Here is a 23,170-nt window from a genome sequence, read left to right on the forward strand (position 1 = left end):
TGCTGGGATTACAGGCGTGAGCCACTGCGCCTGGCTACTTAGGGGAGTTTTTAGATTAAGAAAGCATTCTGGGCCCGGTGGGGTGGCTTACGCCTGTAATCCCAGCACTTTGGGAGGCCAAGATGGGCGGATTGCTTGAGCACAGGAGTTCGAGACTAGCCTGGGCAACATGGCAAAACCCAGTCTCTACAAATAAATGAAAAAAACAAAAAAGAAAAAAAATTAGCTGGGCATGTTGGCATGCACCTGTAGTCCCAGTTACTTGGGGGGCTGAGGTCGGAGGATCATTCGTACTTGGAGGCTGTGAATCTATGTCTTAATGATTATGGTTCAACTTCTTAATTTTTGCCAACATCATTTTGCTAACATGATTTCTTGAATATTCTTCTCTTGATTTGACTTTTTTTCTGATTGCTAGTGAAGCTGACACCTTCTAAACTGTTTATTGGCCTTATGTATTTTTTTTATTCTCTGAAATACCTGTTCGTGTCTTTTGGTCTTTATTTTACTTGATTGATTGGTTGATTGATTGAGACAGGGTCTGACTCTGTCTCCCAGGCTGGAGTGCAGTGGCACAATCATGGCTGACTGCAGCCTCGACCTCCTGGGGTCAAGCGATCCTCCCACCTCAGCTTCCCAAGTAGCTAGGACTATAGGTGTGTGCCACCATGCCCAGCTAATTTTTGTATTTTTTGTAGAGATGGGGTTTTGCCATGTTGCCTAAGCTGTTGGCCTTTATTTTCTATTGGGATATTTATCCTTTTCTTCTTTATTTGTAGGAGTTTACACATTTTTGATAATATTCCTTTGTTAAGTTTAGGTGTTGCATATGTATTTTCCCGGGTTGTGACTTGTCTTTCACTTTCTTTATCTTTTGATGGACATGACTTTTTAATTTTTGTATAGTTAAATTTACCAATAAGTCTTTTACAGTTTGTGTCTTGTCTAAAACACCTTGAGATTTGGTTTTGTGGGCAGCAACAGCCCTCCTGTTACCTAACCTGGCTTACTGCACTATCCCTAGTGGTTCTCTTACATCTCACTTGCACTTTTGTAAATAACCCTTTGTAAATAACTTCTCCTGGCATTATGATAATGGGACATAGATAGAAAGTGTTACAGTGTTGGGGGATGTGCTCCTTATGTAATTTCTCTGGCCTTTGAGAAAGACAGGATCATAAGAATGGTGGAATAGTTTGGTTGTTGTTTAGTGAAATTGAATCACTGAAGAAATATAACAACAGGCTCAGTTGAACCCCTTTCAACTCAGGAAATGGTGCAAATTTCAGAAAACCTTCATCACAGCATTAGAAAAAACTCCATCTCCTGCAGCTGGAGAAGAAACTACTGAAAATTGGGCCCAGAACCTGATTGTAAGAGTAGTGGGATTACAAAGAAGGCTGAATCCAGGAGCTCAAAGTTCTCTTCCACTAAGGAAAGCACCCCAATAATGAAGGAGTGGGACCTCAAGACCTGGAATAAGGACATTTTTGTTGGGGTCTGTAATTCTGCAGAAAATGGAGGTTTGGATCATCCCACCAGGCATAGAGCATAGCCCAGCAGAAGTTCTTGCCATGGTCAAGGGAAACCCTTAGAAACCTATCTCCAAAAGGGAGATGACAAAGGCCAATGAAGGCCTCGGGATCAGTTGCAACAGCAGAATCTGTAGTTGTTCCATGAACCCAGATAATGAATTGAGGGACCAGAATACCATAGAAGCCTCCCTATTCTCTTCACTCCTCACCTGTTAGAGTGAGTGTTTACAGGGATCAGTGGGTAAGGGTAATTCTGGCCCAAGCCCATCTCAAAATGGGTTCATTTTCAGAGGAAATAATAGGAAGTGGTGACATCACTGTGGGGTGCAAGTGCACCTTAGACATGCGAGGGGTGACTGTAGTGGATGCTGTTTGTGCCTTCTGTGTTCCTTTTTTTTTCTTTTTTCTTTTCTTTTCTTTTCTTTTTTTTTTTTTTTTTTACAGAGTCTCGCTCTGTTGCCCAAGCTGGAGTGTGGTGGCATGACCTTGGCTCACTGCAACCTCCGCCTTCTGGGTTCAATGATTCCCCTACTCCAGCCTCCCAAATAGCTGGGACTACAGGCATGCACCACCATGCTTGGCTAATTTTTGTATTTTTAGTAGAGGTGGGGTTTCACCACGTTGGCCAGGCTGGTCTTGAACTCCTGACCTCAGGGATCTGCCCGCCTTGGCCTCCCAAAGTGCTGGGATTATTAGGCATGAGCCACTGCACCCAGCCATATATATATATATATATATATATATATATATATATATATATATATATAGAGAGAGAGAGAGAGAGAGAGAGAGAGAGAGAGAGAGAGAGAGAGAGAGAGAGTCTTGCTCTGTCACCTAGGCTGGAATGCACACAGTGGTGAGACCACGGCTCACTGCAACCTCAACTTCCTGGGCTCAGGCGATCCTTCTGCCTTAGCCTACTGAGTAACAGGGACTATAGGCATGCATCACCACACTCAGCTAATTTTTAAATTTTTTGTAGAAATGTGGTCTCACTATATTGCCCAGGCTGGTTCTGAACTCCTGGGCTGAAGTGATCCTCCTGCTTCAGCCTCCCAAAGTGCTGGTATTACAAGCATAAGCCACTATGCCCAGCCACGACACCTGAAACTTTTTGTCTGATTGCTTCCTGTGGCTTCCAGAGCCTAAATGAATACAGAACAGAAGTGCCAGGAATTAGTACTCATTGGAGCAGCTCTTAACCCATGGCTGATGGGAGCTTGTGTGTGTAAATGCCTGAGGTCACTTGTCCCTGGTGATAATTCTAAGGCATATATTCTACAACGATAATCAAAATTCCCCAGAGGTGTTAGACTCTAGTTAATTGTCATGGTAACATGCTTGATAAAACACTTTCCAGAAAACTAAATAGGGATAATATTCTATACCTCAGTACTTCCACTCCTGTGCATATTTCATAGAGAAACTCTCCCACTAGTATCCATCTTAGTGTGGGCTGTCCTGACAAAAATACCATAGACTGGGTGGCTTAAACAACAAAAATTTAGTTTTCTTTGTTCTGGAGGTTGGAAGTCCAGAATCTGGGTGCCAGCGTGGCTGGGTTCTGATGAGGGCTGTCTTCCTGGCTTGAAGATGGCCACCTTCTCATGGTGCATTCACATGGCAGAGAGAGTGAGGCTCTTCCGTTTCTTCCTCTTCCTATGAGGACCACCCTCATGACCACCACCACCGTGGGGGCCCACCCTCCTGACTTCATCAAAAACTAATCACTTCCCAAAGGCCCCATCTCCAAATCCATCACATTGAGGATTAGGGCTTCCATATATGAATTTGGGGAGAGGTGAGGACATATTCAGCCTATAACAGGATCTCAACAGACAGGAACAAGAATGCAATAGTAAGGCAGCTAATAATAGAAAAATTTTGAAACAATTATCCAAGGAAAATAAATTCTGGAAACCTATACAGCAGTAAAAGTGAATAAATTACAACTCCCCACAACAACATAGATGAATCTTGGAAACAAGATGTAAAAAAATTGGTAAAAAATGCCAATGCAGACAACTGCATATAGTATGATATAATTTTACATAGCTCAAGGGCAAACAGAATCAGACAAGTTCAGATATACATACATATTTGATAATTTTTTTTTTTTGAGACAGTCTGCCTCTGTCATCCAGGCTGGAGTGCAGTGGTGCCATCTTGGCTTACTGCAACCTCCACATCCAAGGTTCAAGAGATTGTCCTGCATCAGCCTCCTGAGTAGCTGGGACTACAGGTGTGTGCCATGACACCCAGCTAATTTTTGTATTTTTAGTAGAGACGGGGTTTCTCCATGTTGGCCAGGCTGGTCTTGAACTCCTGACCTCTGGTGATCTGCCTGCCTCGGCCTCCCAACGTGCTGGGATTACAGATGGGAGCCACTGCGCCCGGCCATATTTGATAAATTTTTTTTATGGAAAGGGAGGGAATGATGCATACAAAATAAAGAGTGTGGCTAACTCTGATCAAGAGACAAAAGGATACATAAAAGAAGGAAACACAGATGCAAATAAATGATGATCTAGTTTCAGGTCAGGATATTGGTATTGGATAAGGTCTCAGATTTGCTGATGGGAATGTGAATTGGTGCCATGACTTTGGAGGATGACATGGCATTTTCTTGTTAATTTGAACATTTGTACACCTGTGGCAATAGTTTTTGGTGCACTCCAGGTGCCTTGGGCCTTTACACTTTAGTGTATACTGGTGTAACCTCAAACTGCTAGCATCTGCATCTTCTTGCCTGAGGGTTTTCTCTGGTAGTCAGGGTTTCTGTGCACAACAGGCCTGAAGTTGCACAGGATTTTGCTCTGCACAAACTGCCATCAACCAATGACTAATAAGTTAGCATATAAATACCCCAAACTCCCTTGCTGCTGGTGTGTGTTGGGGGGACGTACTGAGAAGGTGTTTGTTTGACACTGGCTTCCTGAGGGCCCTGGTGAATTTCAGTTACAGTTATTTCCATGGTAACATGCTTATTAGTGCACTTTTTATTGGCTTCCTTTCATCCCCAACTCTTCCACCAGTGTTTCCTGGCATCACCTCTCAAACAAACTGTCCACTTAAAATATTCTCTCAAGATCAGCTTCTGGGGATCCCTGACACCAACAAAAGTGGTCCTAGGAGGCAGATTCTTGGAACACTATTCTGAAATTGGATACATGTCCAACAAGAATGCAGTTAGAGCCTCCTGTTTAGTGTTATGTGGGATGATGATAAAACTTTGCATGTTGTAGCCCCACAATTTCTAAGACTTTCATCTGTAGTGAATTGGTTGGGTATCAGCTCTATCTGACCCATGACCAGGAGGTAAGGGACTCCTTCAAGCGTCCATGGCTCTCTGTATATGTTCTTTTTGCTATGTTCATAGCTTTCACTGTTTCTTTTCCCCTGTGTACACTCTCTATGGTCATGAGAAAAAGTTGGTGACTCCATAATCTTTAGCAGCCCTCTTGTTGCCATGACAACAAAGTGCTACTGCATCTTGACCTGCCCATGCCTTTTTCTCTCCTTGTACTTTGGATGCACTCCTGTCAGTGACAGTCTGAGACATCATGGTGCCACCACATGTCATGTATGGCTGCCCCATTTCCTGCGGGCAATGAATTATGCCTGTGGTCCTCAAATATGTGAGACAACTTCCCAGAAGCCCGTTCTGAAGGCCAGTTTCCTGAGGTCATTTCTGTGATGAATTACTTTATCGGTTGCAGTCCCAACGGAACTCAGATTACACTGGCTTCATACAGTAGCTTACAGGGCATGGACTCTTCTTCAGATCCCTGGAAGAGTTTGTCTAAGAGTGTTGATATTTCCCTAAATATTGATCAGAAATCCCCTATGAAATCATGTCTGGTTCACAGTTTTCTCTGGGGTAAGGTTATAAATTGTAGATTAAACTTTTTTAATACTTACATTTATCCAGTTAGATTTCATCCAATTGTTCACACTTAGTAGCTTAAAGCTTTCCCAAATATTCTTTTTTACATTTTAAACATCCGCAGGATGTGTGTGTCGTCCCTTTTTATTTCTGACATTAGTTATTTGCATTTTCTCTTTTCTTCCCCAACAAGTGTTATCAGAGATTTATCAATTTTGTTAATTCACTTGGTTGATCATTTCTTTGCTTTATTATCCTCAGTTCAATCATTTTCTTATATTATTTTAATGATCTCTTTCCTTCTATTTTCAGTTGGTTTTACATTCTTTTTTAACTTCTTCAGGTGAATTTTTAGTTCATCAACTTTCAGGATTTTATCTTTCATAATACATGCTTCTAAGGCTATAAGTTTTCCTCTAAGCACTGTTTAGGCTGCATCTCACCATGTTTTGATATGTAGTATTTCCCTTATTATTCAGTTAAAAATATTTTAAACTTTTTAAAATTTTAATGTTTCCATTATGATTTCTTCTTTAGCTTCAGGGTTATTTAGCAGTTTTTATCTTATTTTCCAAGCATATGTGTATTTTAACTTACCTCTTTGTTATTTATTTCTGACTTAGCACTGTGATCACATCATAACTAAATACTTTTAGCCTTTCAAAATGTGTTAAATCTTCCTTTGTGGTCATAAATGGTATAATGTGTGAATATTCCACCTGGCTCAAAATGAAGGTGCATTCTGTAGCTGCTCTTTCTAAGGTCTGTATATGCCTAGTAGATCAAATTTATTGATCATATTGTTCAAATTAAGCTCATTTTCCTTATCTTTTTTCTGCTCTTTAGTTGGGAGAATTTTAATTGGCCTACCTTCAAGTTCACTGATTCTTCTACCTGCTCAAGTTTCCTCTTGAACCTGTAGTGAGTTTTTCACTTTAGTTACAGTACTTTGCATTTCAAGAATTCTATTTGGCGCTATTTTATAATTTCTATCTCTTTACTGATAATCACTAGTTCTGAGGCATTGTTCTCCTGGTTTCCTTTAGCTCTTTGAGAATATTTAAGACAGTTGATTTAAGGCCTTTTTCTAGTAAGTTCACAGCCTGGGCTTCCTCAGGGGAAGTTTCCGTTAATTTACCTTTTCCTGTGAAAGGGTCATATTTCTTGTTTTTCTGCATGTCTCATACTTCTTTGTTAAAAACTGGAAAATTTGAATAAATATTATAATATGGGAAACTAGATTCTTTCTTCTCCCTAGGGTTTGTTATTGCTGCTTGTTTTGTGTTATAGTTGTTTAGTGACTTGTCTAAACTACTTTTGTGAAGACTTTTGTCATATGTGGCCACTGAAATCTTTGTTATGTTAGTTTAGTGGTCAGCTAGTGTTTTCACAGATCTTCTTAAATTTCTTAAGCCAAAAGAAGAAAGAAAGAAAGAAAGAGGAAGAAGACCCTCCTGTTCTTTGCAGGCTGGCTCTGGGTTAGAGCACTGCTGCAACACTTAACCAGGTCATTTACAACTCTGCCTTAGCCTTTACTTCCTGCTCATGTGAAGCCTAATGACCAGCCAGAGGTAAAAGCTTAGGGTCTTCTCAGGTCTTATCTGAGCATACATCTAGAAATACATGTGGCTGTTTGAATTCCTTAGTATATGTGGGAGTTTTTTAAAGTTCTAATTTCCCCACGTTTCCTTCCTTAGCCTTTTTCTTCCTAGGCGTTTTAGCCTGTCTACTGTTTTCCCTTTCTATTATCTGTTGACCTAGATGGTTGTGACAAGTATATACCTTTAAATACTTTCCATGTATGCTGCCCAGGAGGCTGTTCCATCCTGTAGAGAATTCTGTGTGTGTTTGTTGGGGGTAGGACACAGGGGAGGAAGGGCAGGAGCAGGGTGAGCAAAACAAAGGCAAGATCCTGAGCTGATCCCTCAGAGAGCTGTCAGATAGGTTGAGATTCGCAAGCACAATTCTTTGATGACAACGGCTTTTTTACTCCCTCTGGCACCAGCAAACCACACCGGGAAGATGGGCTGCTGTTGCCCTGGCTACTTCTGAGCTGGAAAATGAGGGCTTTATAGGCAGGTAAGAAAATTCCACAATTCTCTCTTACCCAAATTTAGCAGTTTCTTTCTTCATTAAGCACCCTTTGTTTTAAGTTTTTGGTTATATTCTAGAGTTATGAAAAAATGAATTCTGTCAGTTTTTTGCCAGCTTAATTGTTGCTTTCGTGAAGGGACACATTTTTGGAGCTGCCATTTTCAGTGACATTACTCCCAGCCCATTTACATTTAATGTAAATACTGATATATTTGAGCCTAAATCTCCTATCTAGCAATGTGGTTTTAAAATTAATATAATTTCTAATTGACAAATCATAATTAGATACATTTATGGAGTTCAATGCAATGTTTTTTGTTTGTTTGTTTGTTTCTTCGAGACAGAGTCTGGCTCTGTCACCCAAGCTGGAGTGCAGTGGCATGATCTCAGCTCACTACAACCTCTGTCTCCTGGGTTCAAGTGATTCTCATGCCTCAGCCTCCCAAGTAGCTAGGATTACAGGCATGTGCCACCACGCCCAGCTGATTTTTGTATTTTTAGTGGAGACTAGGTTTCACCATGTTGGCCAGGCTGGTCTCAAATTCCTGACATCAAGTGATCCACCCGCCTTGGCCTCCCAAAGTGCTGGGATTACAGGTGTGAGCCACTGTGCCCAGCCACAATATTTTCATACATGTAAACAACGTGGAATGATTGAATCAAGCTAATTAATATATCTGTTACCTCATTTACTTATTTTTTTGTGGAGAGACCCTTTCAATTTACTCTCTTAGTTATCTCAAAATATACATTATTACTGAATATAGTCACTCTGTCATGCAATAGATCTCAGAACTTATTCCTCCTGTCTACCTGAGACTTTGTACCCTTTGACCAACCACGCTCCATTCTCTCCCTCTCTGCCTCTAGCCTCTGGTAACCACCATTCTAATATCTACTTTTATGAGCTCAACTCTTTTAAGATTCCACAAATAAGTGAGATAATGCTGTCCTTGTTGGTCTTCTTTTATCCCTTTTTCCTTGCTTCCCTTTGGATGGACTTTCTTACAGTTGCATTTTTTTCTATTAGTTAAATTTATCAAGAAATTTGTCACTAATTCTTTGATCTTCTTTTCAGATATGATGATGCAGTGTTATTAGCCCTTCATTACTTATATGTTATTGCTATGCATCTGAATTGTTTTAATTTTCTATCCTCACTATCCATCACATCATCATTGTTATTAGTTAATAACTCTTAAAATGTACTCACCTGTGTACTTTACACTCTTAAATTCTTTTTTTCATCTCTGAGGCTTCCTCTGGGATCATTTTCCTTCTTTCTTAAACCTATCTTTAAGCAGTTCCTTTAATGTGTGTCTTCTGGCAACAAATATTCTGTTTTGTCTGAAAATATTTCTTTAGCTTCAGCCAAAAATTGGAAGTTGCAAGAAAAGTACAAACAATTTTTATCTGAATCATTCAAGAGAGTATTTTTTTGACCTGACACCTCCTCCTTCATGAATATTTTAGTGTGTTTTCTACAAATCAGGACAACTCCTATATAATGGCTATTTATGTTAGAAACCATGAATTCAAACTTACGGATCAAATTCCAATCCAGTACCATAGGATTCATTCCAGTTTCTCCCTGTAGTCTGTTCTTGAACTGCTATAAAGAAATACCTGAGGCTGGGTAATTTATAAGGAAAAGAGGTTTAATTGACTCACGGTTCTGCAGGCTGTCCGGGAAGCATAGTGGCTTCTGCTTGGCTTCTGGGGAGGCCTCAGGAACTTAAAATCATGGTGGAAGGTGAAGGTGAAGGGAAGCAGGCATGTCTTACATTCCCAGAGCAGGAGAAAAGGAGACCAGGGAGGTGCCACGTGCTTTTAAACAGCCAGATCTCGGGAGGACTCTATAAGGAAAACAGCACTAGGGGGATGGTGCTAAACCATTCATGAGAACCCACCCCCGTGATCCAACCACCTCCCACCAGGCCCCACCTCCAACACCGGGGATTACAATTCGACATGAGATTTGGGTGGGGACACAGATCCAAACCCAATTCGACATGAGATTTGGGTGGGGACACAGATTGAAACCCAATTCGACATGAGATTTGGGTGGGGACACAGATCCAAACCATATCACTCCCTTTTGGTATTTGGAACTGCCTTCTCTCTTTTCTATTCTTTTCGGTGTATTTACTTACTTGACCAATCCCCTTGTGTGACCAACCTGCCCTCTCTGCCAGTACTCCCTTCCCCTCTGCCATTCTGGCTCCCCCTCCATTCTAGTGTGCACTCCTCCCCATCTGGAACCCTTCTCACCCCACTTAAGATCTGACTTTCTATATCAGGCTGCCCACCTCTGCTCATGTGGGTGCTCCGAGCCTGGACTCCACACTGGCTTCCCGCTCTGGGCCCCTGCATCTCTCCTCCTACCCCCACCATGCAGACACCCCCCAACCCTTGATCTGCCCACCGAACAGCTTTGAGTCCAAACTGCTCTTCTCAGGAAGAGAAAGTATACTGGGTTGAATAGAGTCACCCCCAAATTTATGTCCACCAAGAACTTGAGAATGTGGCCTTATTTGGAAAGAGGGACTTGGCAGATATAATCACGATAACATGAGGCCACTCTACAGTAGAGTGGGTCCTAGATCCACTATGGCCAGTGCCATTATAAGAAGAGAAACATTTAGACACAGATACAGGGAGAACACTGCATGAAGACAGAGGCAGAGGCTGGAGCGATGCGTCTGCAGGCCCGGGAACACCCAGGGCAGTCGGCAACCACAGGAGCTGGAAGAGTCACATCTGGTGCTGCACTAAGTCCTTTGCATATGTTATCTCATATAATTTCCAGAAAAACATGGTGAGCTAGATATTATCAAGATTCTAATGATAAAAACATTGATGATCACGGGACACAAAAGATAAGGGAGCAATTAGTAGAATTGGGATTAGAATCCAGATATGCTTGACCACAAAATAAATACTATTTTTCTGTAATACGCTGATATCTATGAGTGTATATTGGGTACTGGCTTTAAAGTTGATGGATCCTTTTATATACACCATTTAAAGTGATCTTCCTAATGATGTTGGCATAAACACAGTATTATTATTATTGTTTACTGATGAAAAAACTGATGCTGGAGAAAAACAAGTTTGTCTAAGCTCAAAACTCAAATCATGTGTTTCAGAGACGAGACTGTCAACCACGTATCTCAGTGTCCAGTCATCCAGTGGTCTTCCCACCACATCAGGTATGAAGAAGCCTCTGTCTCTTTGAATATTATCTGTAACGCTGCTCTTGTGTTTATTTATTGAGTATGAGCACCTTAAATTTCCCTTGAGAATATGCACATATCTTACCTGAATTGTGTAATGTTCCCAAAGACAACAGATTTTCCTCTCTTAGGTCACATGGAGCCAAACTACTCCACAGTGCCTTGTTTGGCACGTTCCAGAGCTTCTCGAAGCCGGTCGTTTGTGAATCACAGATGACCTAAAACTTCGTACAGGGCGTGGTGGCTCACGCCTGTAATCCCAGCACTTTGGGAGGCCGAGGCGGGTGGATCACCTGAGATTGGGAGTTGGAGACCAGCCTGACCATCATGGTGAAACCCCATCTCTACTAAAAATACAAAATTAGCTGGGCGTGGTGGCGCATGCCTGTAATCCCAGCTACTCAGGAGGCTGAGGCAGGAGAATTGCTTGAACCCAGGAGACGGAGGTTGCAGTGAACCGAGATCGAACCATTGCACTCCAGCCTAGGCAACAAGAGCAAAATTCCATCTCAAAAAAAAAAAAAAAAAAAGATCCTCTATGTCTCTCCACCTGCACGCATTGCTGGTTGTATGTCCAAACCCCACTGTCAGAAGGAGGAATTAACTGCTGACTGTATCAGCATGCCTATGTCCTATTTGTAAATTATTAGATCCACCAAGATGAATACAAAACAAGCAACATTGTACTTTTAAATCTGTAAGCTACGCATAAGAGGCAAATAAGAAAAATGCATATAGGATTATTTAGACATTTTTAGAAGCACAAAGAACATTTTTTAAAAAACCTTTTATTTTGAGTTCAGGGGTACACGTGCAGGTTTGTTACGCAGGTAAACGTGTGCCATGGGGATCTGTCGTACAGATGATTTCATCACCCAGGTATTAAGCCTAGTGCCCCTTAGTTATTTTTCCTGACCCTCTCCCTCCTCCCGGCCTCCACCCTCCAATAGGCCCCAGTGTGTGTCATTCCCCTCTATGTGTCCATTTGTTCTCAAAAGGAACATATTTTATATCAGTAACTGAAAAATCTATTTTAAGTAATAATCATGGTTCTTAGCAATAAAGTCGTTTTAGAAATAAAAAAAAAAAAAGAAGCTAGAAGGGGCAAGAAGCATCCTACCCTAGAGGCTTTAGAGAGAGCCCAGCCCTCCTGACACCTTGAGTTTAGACTTCCAGCTTCCAGAGCTGTGCAAGAATACACTTCTGTTCTTTACGGTCCTTGTTAGGATAGCCCTAGGGAATGAAAATTGAAAAGAAGAGAAAAAGAAAAGTCATCTTTATTTTCCAAAGATAGTTTCCCTGGCTTAGCAGGTATTTCTTTTAGCACTGTAAAGACAGCATCTCATTCTGTTCTTGTTTCTGTTACGACATTAGCTGCCAGCCTAAGACAGCATCTCATTCTGTTCTTGTTTCTGTTACGACATTAGCTGCCAGCCTCACTGGTCCTCCTTTAAAGGTATTGTGAGCTTCCCCGACCTTGGCTACTCTTAAGATAGCCTCTTTTTTTTTTTAGTCTTCAGGAGTTTTATAATGTTATGGATAGATGTGGTTTTATTTTATTTTATTTTCTTCAGAGTCTTGCTCTGTCACCCAGGCTGGAGTGCAGTGGTGCAATCTTGGCTCACTGCAACCTCCACCTCCCGGGTTCAAGAGATTCTCCTGCCTCAGCTTCCCAAGCAGCTGGAATTACAGATGAGTACTACCACACCCAGCTAATTTTTGTATTTTTACTAGAGACAGGGTTTCACCATGTTGGCCAGGTTGGTCTGAAGCTCCTGGCCTCAAGTGATCTGCCTGCCTCAGCCTCCCAAAGTTGCTGAGATTGCAGGCATGAGCCACCACGCCTGGCATAGATGAGATTTTCTACGTATTTTATTCCATATGAATGATGGGGTAGGATATTTCCTTAAGTTTGGGAAGATTTCTGCAATTGCCTCTTTAAAAATGTTTCTTCTCTTCCTTCTCACTTCTCCTTCTGGGACTCTAACTACCTATATGTTAGACCTTATCGGTGGATACTCTCTTCTTTTAACCCTCCAGTTCCATGCTGTGTTTTTGTCTATCCTTCATTCTAGATATTTTCTTCTGATCCAACTTCTGATTCACTAATTCTTTCTTCAGCTGTGTTAAGTCTGCTCTTAAACCCATCATTTGAGCTCTTCATTGTATACTTCTGTTCTAAAATTCTGAATTAAAAAAGATCTGCTATGTGTGTTTTATAGTTTTCAATTTATGATGAAATTTTCAGATTGTGTTTAAACTCTTCAAACCTAGTAGCACTGTTATTTTATCAGTTTTAAAATTTTACTTATTTTTATTTTTTTTCAGAGATGGGGCCTCACTCTGTCACCCAAGCTGGAGTGCAGTGATTCAATCACAGCTCCCTGTAGCCCCAAACTTCTGGCTCAAGTGATTATCCCACCTAACCTCTCAGATAGTGGGGGCTACAGACAAGTACCACTATGCCCAGGTAATTATTAAACATTTTTTGTAGAGATAGGGTCTTGCCATGTTGCCCAGGCTGGTCCCAAACCTCCTGGCATCTCAAAGCACTGGGATTACAAGTGGGTGGGGGAGGTGAGGGATAAAAAACTACATATTGGGTACAGTGTACACTACTTGGATGATGGGTGCCCTAAAATCTCAGAATTAACCACTATAGAATTCATCCGTGTAACCAAAAACTACTTGTATCCCAAAAGCTATTGAAATAAAAAGTATTAAGAAAGTCTTCATGTGCTAATTCCCATAGCTGAGGTCTGGAGTCCCTGTTGATCTTCCGTTTTTGCTGTTCTTACTCATGTTGCTTCGTCTACTTGTATGTGTGGTTCTTTGTGATTGTGTGCTGGATACTGTATTCAGAAGTATTGGGTTGAGCAACTGAACCTAAAATGACGTTATAATTTTCCAGAGACGGTTTTCATATGCTTCTGGCTGGTTCCTGGTGGAATTCAAAATCTGAGATCAACTTAACCCAGTGGTAGAGGTTGAGCTTTTCTAAGGACCTGAATAAAGTGCATCTGGTTGCAGTTCCTGTGAGGGATGATTTCCTTCACCTTTGCTCCTATAAGGAAAGTCCATGGGTTTCTAATCCAAAGTGCATGTACTTCCCAAGCGCCTTTCTCCTGGTGAGTCCTGGCCTCTGAGTTTTTCTCCCTAGCTCTAAGATTGTCAGGATTTCTGCTCAGCTTCTCACTGACTATCCCAGAATCAGCAAATGCTTTTGGGGAGGGGCTCAGGGGGAAGTGACTGCAAATGGCAGCTACTTTGGTGGCTATTATTCACCACTCTGGTATCTCTCCATTACCTTCAAACAGATTTTTAAAATACTTCTTTCAGATTTGCTAACTGGTCCGAGTTCCCTGTATGCCCTTAATAGAAGCAGACATCTGGCATCTTTATAAGAATCACATTTTCCGTTTGTTGCTGGTCTATAGAAATAAAACGGATTTCTGTACATTGGTATTAAAGCCAGTAATCTATTATTTTTAATAATATATTTTTATTATTTATAATACTATTTTAAGTAATACCATTTAAATTATTGAATATTTTGGATTTTTGCTATTTTGAATTACTTTTGAATACTTTTGTATCTTCTCCTGGATTTTTTCTGCTCTTCCACTGGGACTCCTGCGCAGACACTGGTGGGTCCTGTGACTTCCTTCCTCAGCCCAGTGTCACTCACTTTTCTGTGGCTCCCAGGAAAACACACAACCCCTCCCCAAGTCCCTCTGAGGGTCTCCTATCACCACAGAGTGAAGTCCAAGGCTGGAATCAGGGCCAGTCTGGCCCCATGCAGTCTGGCCTCTGGCCTGTCCTTCCAGCCCACTCCTTCCCAAGCCCACTGGCCTTCCCACCGCTCTTGAACTTGGCAAGCATGTTTCTGGCCTGGACCCTTCCCCTCCTGCTCCTTTTGCCTGGGATGCACCTCCCAGTGGTCCATGTCCCCAAGGACATATTCTGGATGCCTGGCATTGATGGCCACACCCTCAGCTGGCGCTGTTGTCCTTTATGGAGCATTTATTTGTTTTTAATTGCTTTTTTTCCTCTTCTGGTTTCTTTGTGATTTGTTTTTAATTGTATTATCCATTCCCCACCAGGACCTTAGTGCCGCAGTGCAGACACACTGCACGTGTCCACCTTAGCCCTTGGCCTGGCACACAGTAGATGTTCAATGAACATCACATTGTAAGTTGCTTTCCATTGACGATTTGTGACTTCTAACACTCTCCATGTGTTCTATTGGCTATTTGTGTCTGCAGCTGGCTAAAGAGAACTCCTCTTCCCCACGTTCCACTGAAAACTTCTTCAAGGTCGAGCTTGTCTCATTCATCATGTTTTTGTTTGTTTGTTTGTTTGTTTTTTACATTCACTTACTTGGACTCTGATAGTTAATTTTAGGTGTTAACTTGGGCAGGCCATACTACCCAGATATTTGGCCAAACACCAGTCTAGATAGTGCAGGTGATTTTTAGATGTTATTAACATTTCAACCTGTGGACTTTGAGTAAGGCAGATCATCATCCATAATGTGGGTGGGCCTCATCCAGGCAGTTGGAGGCCTTAAGAGAAAACAGACGGCAGTCCCCAAGGAGGACAGAATTCTGCCAGCAGGCTGAACTTTGGACGGGAGCAGCAGCCTCAGCTCTTCTCTGGGTCACCAGCCTGCTGGTTTGCCCTGCAGATTTTGGACATTCGTCTCCACAACTGTGTGAGCCAATTCCTTAAAATCTCTCTCTCGCATCTCTCCCTCTATCCATACCTGTGGCCATAGCCTGTGTCTATGTTGATACCTATTTCTGTCGATATCCACATCCACATCTATGGGTTCTGTTTCTCGGGAGCTCATGCGAATACAGGCTCTCTTTCATGTTAGATACTTTGGTCACTTTCTTTCCTGGGGTGCTTACTTTGTTTTTGGTGGCTTTGTCCTTATAGAGACTTTATTTTTTTCCTTGTGGGCAAATTTATCAGTCTTACTTTTCACTGTTCCTGGCCTTAGCCTCATTCTGAGAGAACACTTATTCACCTTAAGAGAATATAGATATTTTGCCATATTTTTTTCTGGTGTGATTATTGATCTGTATCAGTGCTGGTCTTCAATTTGCTTTTTGTCCTTACAATGAGAGCAGAAATCCTTTCTCTTTTCTCTTTCATTTTCCCAATTCCGTTTTGAGGTCTTGTCCAAACCAATGTTTTCTAGAATAAACTTGGCAGGTATAGAGCCGGCTATGGCCACAGCCGCAGACATCAGGGCCTCGGCTGGAGAGGAGAGGTGCAGGCCTCTGGAAGTCTCTTTGGGGCTGGAGACTATGGCCTGATTTCTGTCCAGGTCTTGGGGGGCCTCTGTCCACAAGTCTAGGGGGGCAGAAAGGGCTCAGACCCTTCCCTCAAAATACCAAGGGAGAGGAGGTCGGCTGGGCCCAGGCAGGTGGCTGGTGGTGAGCGCCCCGAGATCAGGCCAGGCTTGTCAAGCATTGATTTAGGTGTGGGAGGCAGACATGTCCTGTTTGTTACCAGCTGGAAACAGATGTTTCTGCCCCGAGTGCCACCTTAGAGGGTGGCGTCCAGGCCCAGCAGGCTGTGGCGACACGGGTGAGCTGCAGAGCGTGCGGAGGCGAGGGCCCTGGCCCATGTCAGGAGGCTGAGTTACGACTGTGGCTTCAGTGCCGGGAAAGCTGTAAACACATTCCTGTGCGGGGCCCTGGGCCACCTGGGGCATCACATGCCCCCAGAAGACAGATTTCTGTAGTCAGTCAGGACTCAACGGACATTTACGTAACATGGAAAGGGGAAGTGGTGCTGGAGGGCAGCCCCCTGAATCACTCTGTTGGAGCAATTCTGTTGGGTGAAGGTGCATGAAAACAACACAGTGTGGCTGAGGGCCAGGGCTGTAGACATTCGGTCAAGTGCACAGGCTGTGCTGGAGCAGCCCCGGCACTAGAAACAGGCGCAGGGTGGGGAGTTTGCTGGGGTCAATGTGCATTGCGTCGTGCATTTTAGGGTATTTCCTAGGTATAATTGCTAGAGAGAAACAAAGCTCAAATACAGATCATCTGCCCCACACCAGGTTCCCACCATCCTCAGGGGAATCACAGGTTACTGGCTTTGGAGACCGAGATGTCTTCCCGCCTCCCAGGGGCCTGTGGATGGGACTCCCTGCGAATTCGACTCCCAGGGGAAAAGCCAAGAGCTGCCTCCTTGGGACAGCTGGGCGGCAGCTGTGATCGCACATGGCTCAGGCAGAGGCCTGAGCGGCTGCCTCCGTTGGCCAGCAGGCTCTGAGAGCACTCGCCCGGCCTGACTGTTCATCCATCCTTTCACCCGGAGGCCAGCTGTGGCTGTCTGTGCTCTCAGAGGGGAGGCGATGGCAAGGCGCCTGCCATGCAGATGGGTGGTGGGAGTGAGCCTGTTACACTCTGAGGCCAGGACCGGGTCTGGGGGCACTGGGGCTCCAGGGTGGCCGAGGGCAGTGGGTCAGGCCTGAGAGTTCTGACTTTGTTCTTGGTGCAGTGGGAACCTCTCTGTGGGTTTGAATGGGCCGTCCTGATAGATTCATGTTTTAAAAAGACCACATGGTCCGTGGGGTGGGGGTGGGGCCGGAGGATCAGCAGGAGCCTCTGGCTTCGGAGTCATGGCACCTTCTCCTTCTCACGTCTCCCTCTGCCTCCCTCCTGTGACACCTGTGCCCACATTCGGAGCCACCCAAGTAATCCAGGCCCCTCTCCTCATCTCAAGATCATTGGCTTAATCTCATCTGCAAAGTCCCTTTTGCCATGTAAGATCTCAGAGTCACAGTTCTGGGAATCTGGATGAAGACACTTTTGGGGCCTGACTTAGCCGACTACCCACCTGCAGTTTCAGATGCCTTGAGTAGGAGGCACATAGCTGACTGCCAGTGCCAACGCGTGGAATAAAAGTCCACACTTAGGGACAGATATGAGTTGAAACTATGAACAGAAGCTATTGGAAACCATAATATTGATAAGCTCACCAAGAGCATGAGCAGGGGTTGAGGGGAGACTGAGCGGGACAGCTGCAAGAAGATGACCTACAGGACGCATCCTAGGAGCAAATGAGGCACCGGGGTTGGGGCACATGGCTGACACCGGGGCTCACCCTCGTCCTGTCTCTGGTCCGTGGGTGGGGAGGGCAAATGGCCGGAGGAGCTGTTTGGGGACCAAGCTCCCGCCACACCTCACTATTTGTTCCTCATCTGGTGGAGTGAGAGAAGCCCGTGTCCAACTGACCAGGGTCAAATCCGGGCCCCCAGTCTACTGCTGGAAGATTCCGGGCAATGTCTTGGCCTGTTTTGGCTGCTGTACCAAATACCTGTCGAGCTAAATAATGAACAGAGAGAGGCTCTAACAGAAAATATTTATTTGGGAACAGTGAGGTGTGGAGGGAGCTTGGTCCCCAAGCACTGCAGTGGGAGCACACATACCATCATAAACTATGTGCATATTCAGGGAGGTAAAAGACGACAAAGGTTTTTAAAGGAAAAATGAGGACGATTACATGATCGTTTTGAAATAATCTTTGGCTACAAGGATCAATAACAAGGGTGATGCCAGTATGAGGCGCACAGGCAGTTGCTGGGCAGCTGTCCTCGCAGAAGTATTTTTTTGTGTAAGGTTGCAATGGCCTTTGTGCGAGGCTGTGTTTTTTATAGTCTTTTGTGATAGTTTTTGCTAGTAGGTGTTTATGCATGAGAATGCTTCTCAGCCTTCTCTGGCTTTATATGTCAGAGTTTCGTTTGTTTGTTTGTTTTTTAACACAAGGGACTCCATTTTGATTCTGACGACTTTCATCATATTTTCTCCCTTTGGTCAAGGTCTTTCTCTGGAAGCCTCACTGATGGACCATGCTGTGGTAGGTTCTGATGTCCCTCAGTATTTGGATGGGCCTGTCCCAGGTGTCTGGTCTGGTCACATGTTTGAAGGAGTGATTGATGTCTAGGAGTCAGTGTCAAAATCCTTTTAGCCACATTTGAGTAACAAAGGAGGTTTGAAGACAGTGGCTTTCAGGCTAAGTCTACCTGGAGTAAATGATTAAGTTCAATTTTGTCTGTGGTGTGGTCTTTTGCTATTATCTCAAAGTGCTGGGCTAGCAATATTCTGTTAGAAGTTGTACTTCTGAAAAAATTCAGCAAGTAACAGATACAAAGTTTAAAAAGGGAAAATAAAAAGTAAAATTAGTAATAACATGACAATCCTAGTTTGCATAATAGGATTATGCAATGTCTAGGATTAAAGGCAATTAATTGAATAAATAATGAATCCAGGATTCAAGGCAATTAATTGAATAAATAAAATAGGAAGCCAAGTAAAAACTGTAGGCCCTAGGACAGGTAAGAGTCCCATTATGATATGGAGTCTTGTTCCCATGACTTGGGAGAAGCTGTCTACAGAGTGAAAATGTGAAATTCCTCATCTTGCTTTGCAGTTTGAATGTCTCTAGTCGTGGCATTGGGCAGTCTGGTGAACTTTCTGTCTGGCTCGGACATCAAGCATGAGACTTGTTTCTTAGCATTTATCTAGCTTCAGCTTATAGGGCTTCAGGAACAGAGCAGTTCTCATTTTTCTCCATGGAAGAAAGTTGGATTGGAAGAATCTAGAAGAATTCAGGATCTAGTCTATAGGTAGAAAACAAGAACTTGAAAATAATGCACAGAGCTACAATCTAAAAGCAGGTGTGTTACAGCTTTTCTTTGGAAGCATAAGTTTTCCTCTGTACATTGATCACATAGGAATCTCGTACTTCAATACCTCTTTATGCTGGTAAGCCAAACCAAGACAGGCTTTAGCTTTTACTTACAGTTTTAAGGTTTCTGGGCTTGCCAGGAAATGATGATTTTTACTCATTATAAGGAACCCTGGAAACCAGGCATTCTTTTTTCTTTTTTTGAGACGGAGTCTCACTTTGTTGCCGAGGCTGGAGTGCAGTGGCGTGATCTTGGCACACTGCAACCTCTGCCTTCCATGTTCAAAAGAGTCTCCTGCCTGAGTCTCCCGAGCAGCTGGGATTATAGGTGCCCGCCACCACACCTGGCTAATTTTTGTATTTTTAGTAGAGACGGGATTGAGATGGGGTTTTGCCATGTTGGCCAGGCTGGTCTCGAACTCCTGACCTCGGGTGATCTGCTTGGCTTGGCCTTCCAAAGTGCTGCGATTACAGGGGTGAGCCACCCCGCCCGGCTGAAACTAGGCATTCTATGTATATTTTTCAAATATGGTATTTCAGCCAAAGCCTTAGTAATATACCTGATGTTTCCAATTACATCCTGCAGTGAGGAGACAACTAGTTTTTATCTGGACTTATACAAATGGCCACATCGTCATAAGAACACTTGTGAATAGTTTCTAAATTTTGGAGGAGTCACGTAGGGGGGAAAATAATTGCTTTCATCTTTGTTCACAAAAAGTATACTGTATTAAATTACTGTAAACTATAGATGACTTACGAGAGAAAATTTCCTTAAATCTGGCAAACAAAACATTTAAGAACGAACGATGCTTCAAATAAAATTCATAAAAATATTCCCCTCATCACTTCTTCAATATCATGAAGTCAGCTTTTCTGCTTGAGCTTGATTGGAGGTTTTTGAATTTCTCAGTTTCTTTATTAGAGTTCTGAAAATTTTTTATTGAGTCCATTGATCTTTTATCGGGAAACCGTATTTAAGAGTTCCTGTTTGAGTCTCTTCCATGAAAAGCAATTTTGGACAATAGCTGATTACAAATGCTTTTGGAGAAAAATCAAAACAATAACTCTGGGTCACAAAAACAAAATGGCCATGGTTAAACATCTGATAAAAATTCATTATAATCAGCAATTGATAAGGAAATTGACTTTTTAAAAATTACTATAGTGTTTTAAGGTAGCAAACAGAATCATGACTGTGACTGATAGCATCACATCAGAACCATCAGGGTTTTATAAATTTCACATAATCTTTAGAATATACTCACATCAGTAACGTCTCCATACAAATATAGCTTTAAAGAAGATGTAGCATAACCAAAATTATGGCTGATAACGTTATAGACTGATATGAATTTATATAATCTTTGAAACATCATATCAATAGCATACCCACAAATGTAACTGAAAGAAGATCTAATATCACTTATTATTTGACAATGTTTCCCATATAATTTACCAAATAAGCCTAATCATTTATTTTCTCTATAGGATGAGAGATAAATTCTTTGAGGCTTTCCAGGGGTCTAACTGTAAAATCCCTAAGTCAATTCTAGATAAAAAAAGACTTATTTTAGAATTTTGATCCTGAGGAAGCCTGCCAAAGATGTCAAAGGTTCAACATGGCTAATCAAAGCAGAATCTCAGGTCACTATTAAATATAGCCATGTATTCAACCAGTGATCATCAAAAGACTTGAAGAGTAATACGGAAAGTTACATGGATTAAAAGGACCTAACTTCTTCAAAGCTCAAGTTACCTAAGTAACCAAAAACCTCATAAAGACAACACAAAAAATTATCCTAATAAAATACAAAATCTTTGTTTTTTTTAGGCTACTTACCCAAAAGTTAAAGAAATGCCTCCTGCAGTGTGATTGTGTCTCCTCATGGGAAGCCCATGTAGATAAACTGGAAGTCAAATCTGATGAAAAAGACACTGAGTTTAATTAGGCAGAGAAAGAGTATGTCCAAGGCTATAAGTGTAAACCATTAGTAGAGAAATGTAAACAAGATAACTAGTACCTGAGCAGGGGAACACATAGAAAAAGCAACAGCATGAGAAACTTCCTGGTTACAAGGGAAAATTCAATTATACTGGAATTATACTGGAGAGAACATTTGTTTTCTAGACTTTCAGGATAAACATTTCAGCATTGAGCCATAACAACAGAGTTATAATGGGAGAAAAAATGTTATAGGAGTTGATAAAAAAAAAGTTGAAAGAGAGAGCTATCACCCCAGGCCATCTCATGGGGAGGAAGAGCTGAAGGCACTGATGGATAAGTCTGTATTTATATACATGATCTATAAATCCATATTTATATACATGATCTATAAATCATGTGCTGTGAAATACAACAGAAGTTGAAGTTCTGAAATCTAAAACTGAGAAGCTTTAGGGGGAAAAGACTATGTCAAGAAATGAAATTCTCGTTTTACATGAAGAGGACTTCCAACCTGAAACTAGGGAAAGTAAATGGATCCCAGGAAGCAATAGAAATGGTCTGTTAAAGAAACAGATTTTAGAATTAAAAATAAAAACTTCTTGTAGTTTTAAGAACAGATCAATACTTCAAGATAACTTTGTTGTTCTAACACAGGAAACTAAATCTTTAGTTTTATATTAGCATATTTTTAATAGCAAACCTCAGTCTTTAGAAAGACTTATAAATAATTCCCTTCTAATTATAGCCATCTTGATCACACGCAAAATTCCTTTCGTAAATTCATTATTTGCAAACCTTATTATGACTTACTCAGATGTTTTATGACATGTTGAGGCGTTCTGCTTTGTTTGATACCTCTTTTTTTATTTTATCCTTGTCTTCTTGTCTCTGTTTATCTCTCTCATATAGTTTTATAGTTTTCTCATATAGTTTTATAATGAATTTAGACAATGATTTGATTATTTTTCTAGTGTTTATCATTCTCTTATTTGCTGATGACTTACTATGCTTAAGACTGATGAATTGTCTTGTTCAGGGATCTGAAATCCTTTCCAGTTAAAAAGGGACTTGGCCACATTTGTTCCCATGACCCCTAGGGATGCAACCCTCTTGGGATGTTATGTCATCTTCTTCAACCCAAACCTTTTAATTCTACCCCTGGTCAAATATGGATGGGTACATTCTTGTACCTCATGTTTGGTATATTTTGAAAGCAAAGAACCAAGCATTATTTGTAGTCTTTGAAAAAGAGACCCAGCGTACATAAGCAGTGTTTAGTGTTGTAATGAAATAATTCCCAAACAAAAGGAATCTGATACATGTTATTCATATGCACAGTTGTAATCATGCCATATTAACCTAGCAAAAAGCAATCTGCCTGAGTGTTTTCTAGTTAGTGTAGTTGGTAGAGCTTGACTGAAAATTAAAAAAAAATTTTTTTTGAATCTTCAACGTCATAATTGACCCATACTCCCTCTCATTACAGGCTAACGATCCCCTGTCTGAAATGCTTGGGACCAGAAGTGTTTCAGATTTTATATTTTTTGGATTTTGGGATATTTGCATATATATAATGAGATATCTTGGATAGACCCAAGTCTAAACACAAAATTCATTTGTATTTCATGTACACCTTATACAGACAGCCTGAAGGTGATTTTGTACAATATTTTAAATAACTTTGTACATGAAACAAAGTTTTAACTGTGTTTTGTCTGTAGCCTGTCACATGGCTTCAGGTGTGGAATTTTCTTTATATATATAT

At 41.8% G+C, this 23,170-nt stretch overlaps 1 gene, besides 1 other annotated feature; it reads right to left on the reverse strand.

The window, feature by feature from the left end:
- IGH (immunoglobulin heavy locus) overlaps window positions 1-23,170 on the reverse strand; it is a 1,293,408-nt gene that overhangs the window by 215,323 nt on the left and 1,054,915 nt on the right.
- Window positions 15,867-17,075: an enhancer, noted in NCBI's record as "amplified fragment containing the chr14:106283960-106285167 (GRCh37) CAGE-defined region". NCBI's record gives its function as "transcribed enhancer in B cells {active_cell/tissue: B cell}" and the evidence as "EXISTENCE:reporter gene assay evidence [ECO:0000049][PMID:24670763]".

Source organism: Homo sapiens, chromosome 14 (genome assembly GCF_000001405.40).
Source record: "Homo sapiens chromosome 14, GRCh38.p14 Primary Assembly".
NCBI lineage: Eukaryota > Metazoa > Chordata > Mammalia > Primates > Hominidae > Homo > Homo sapiens.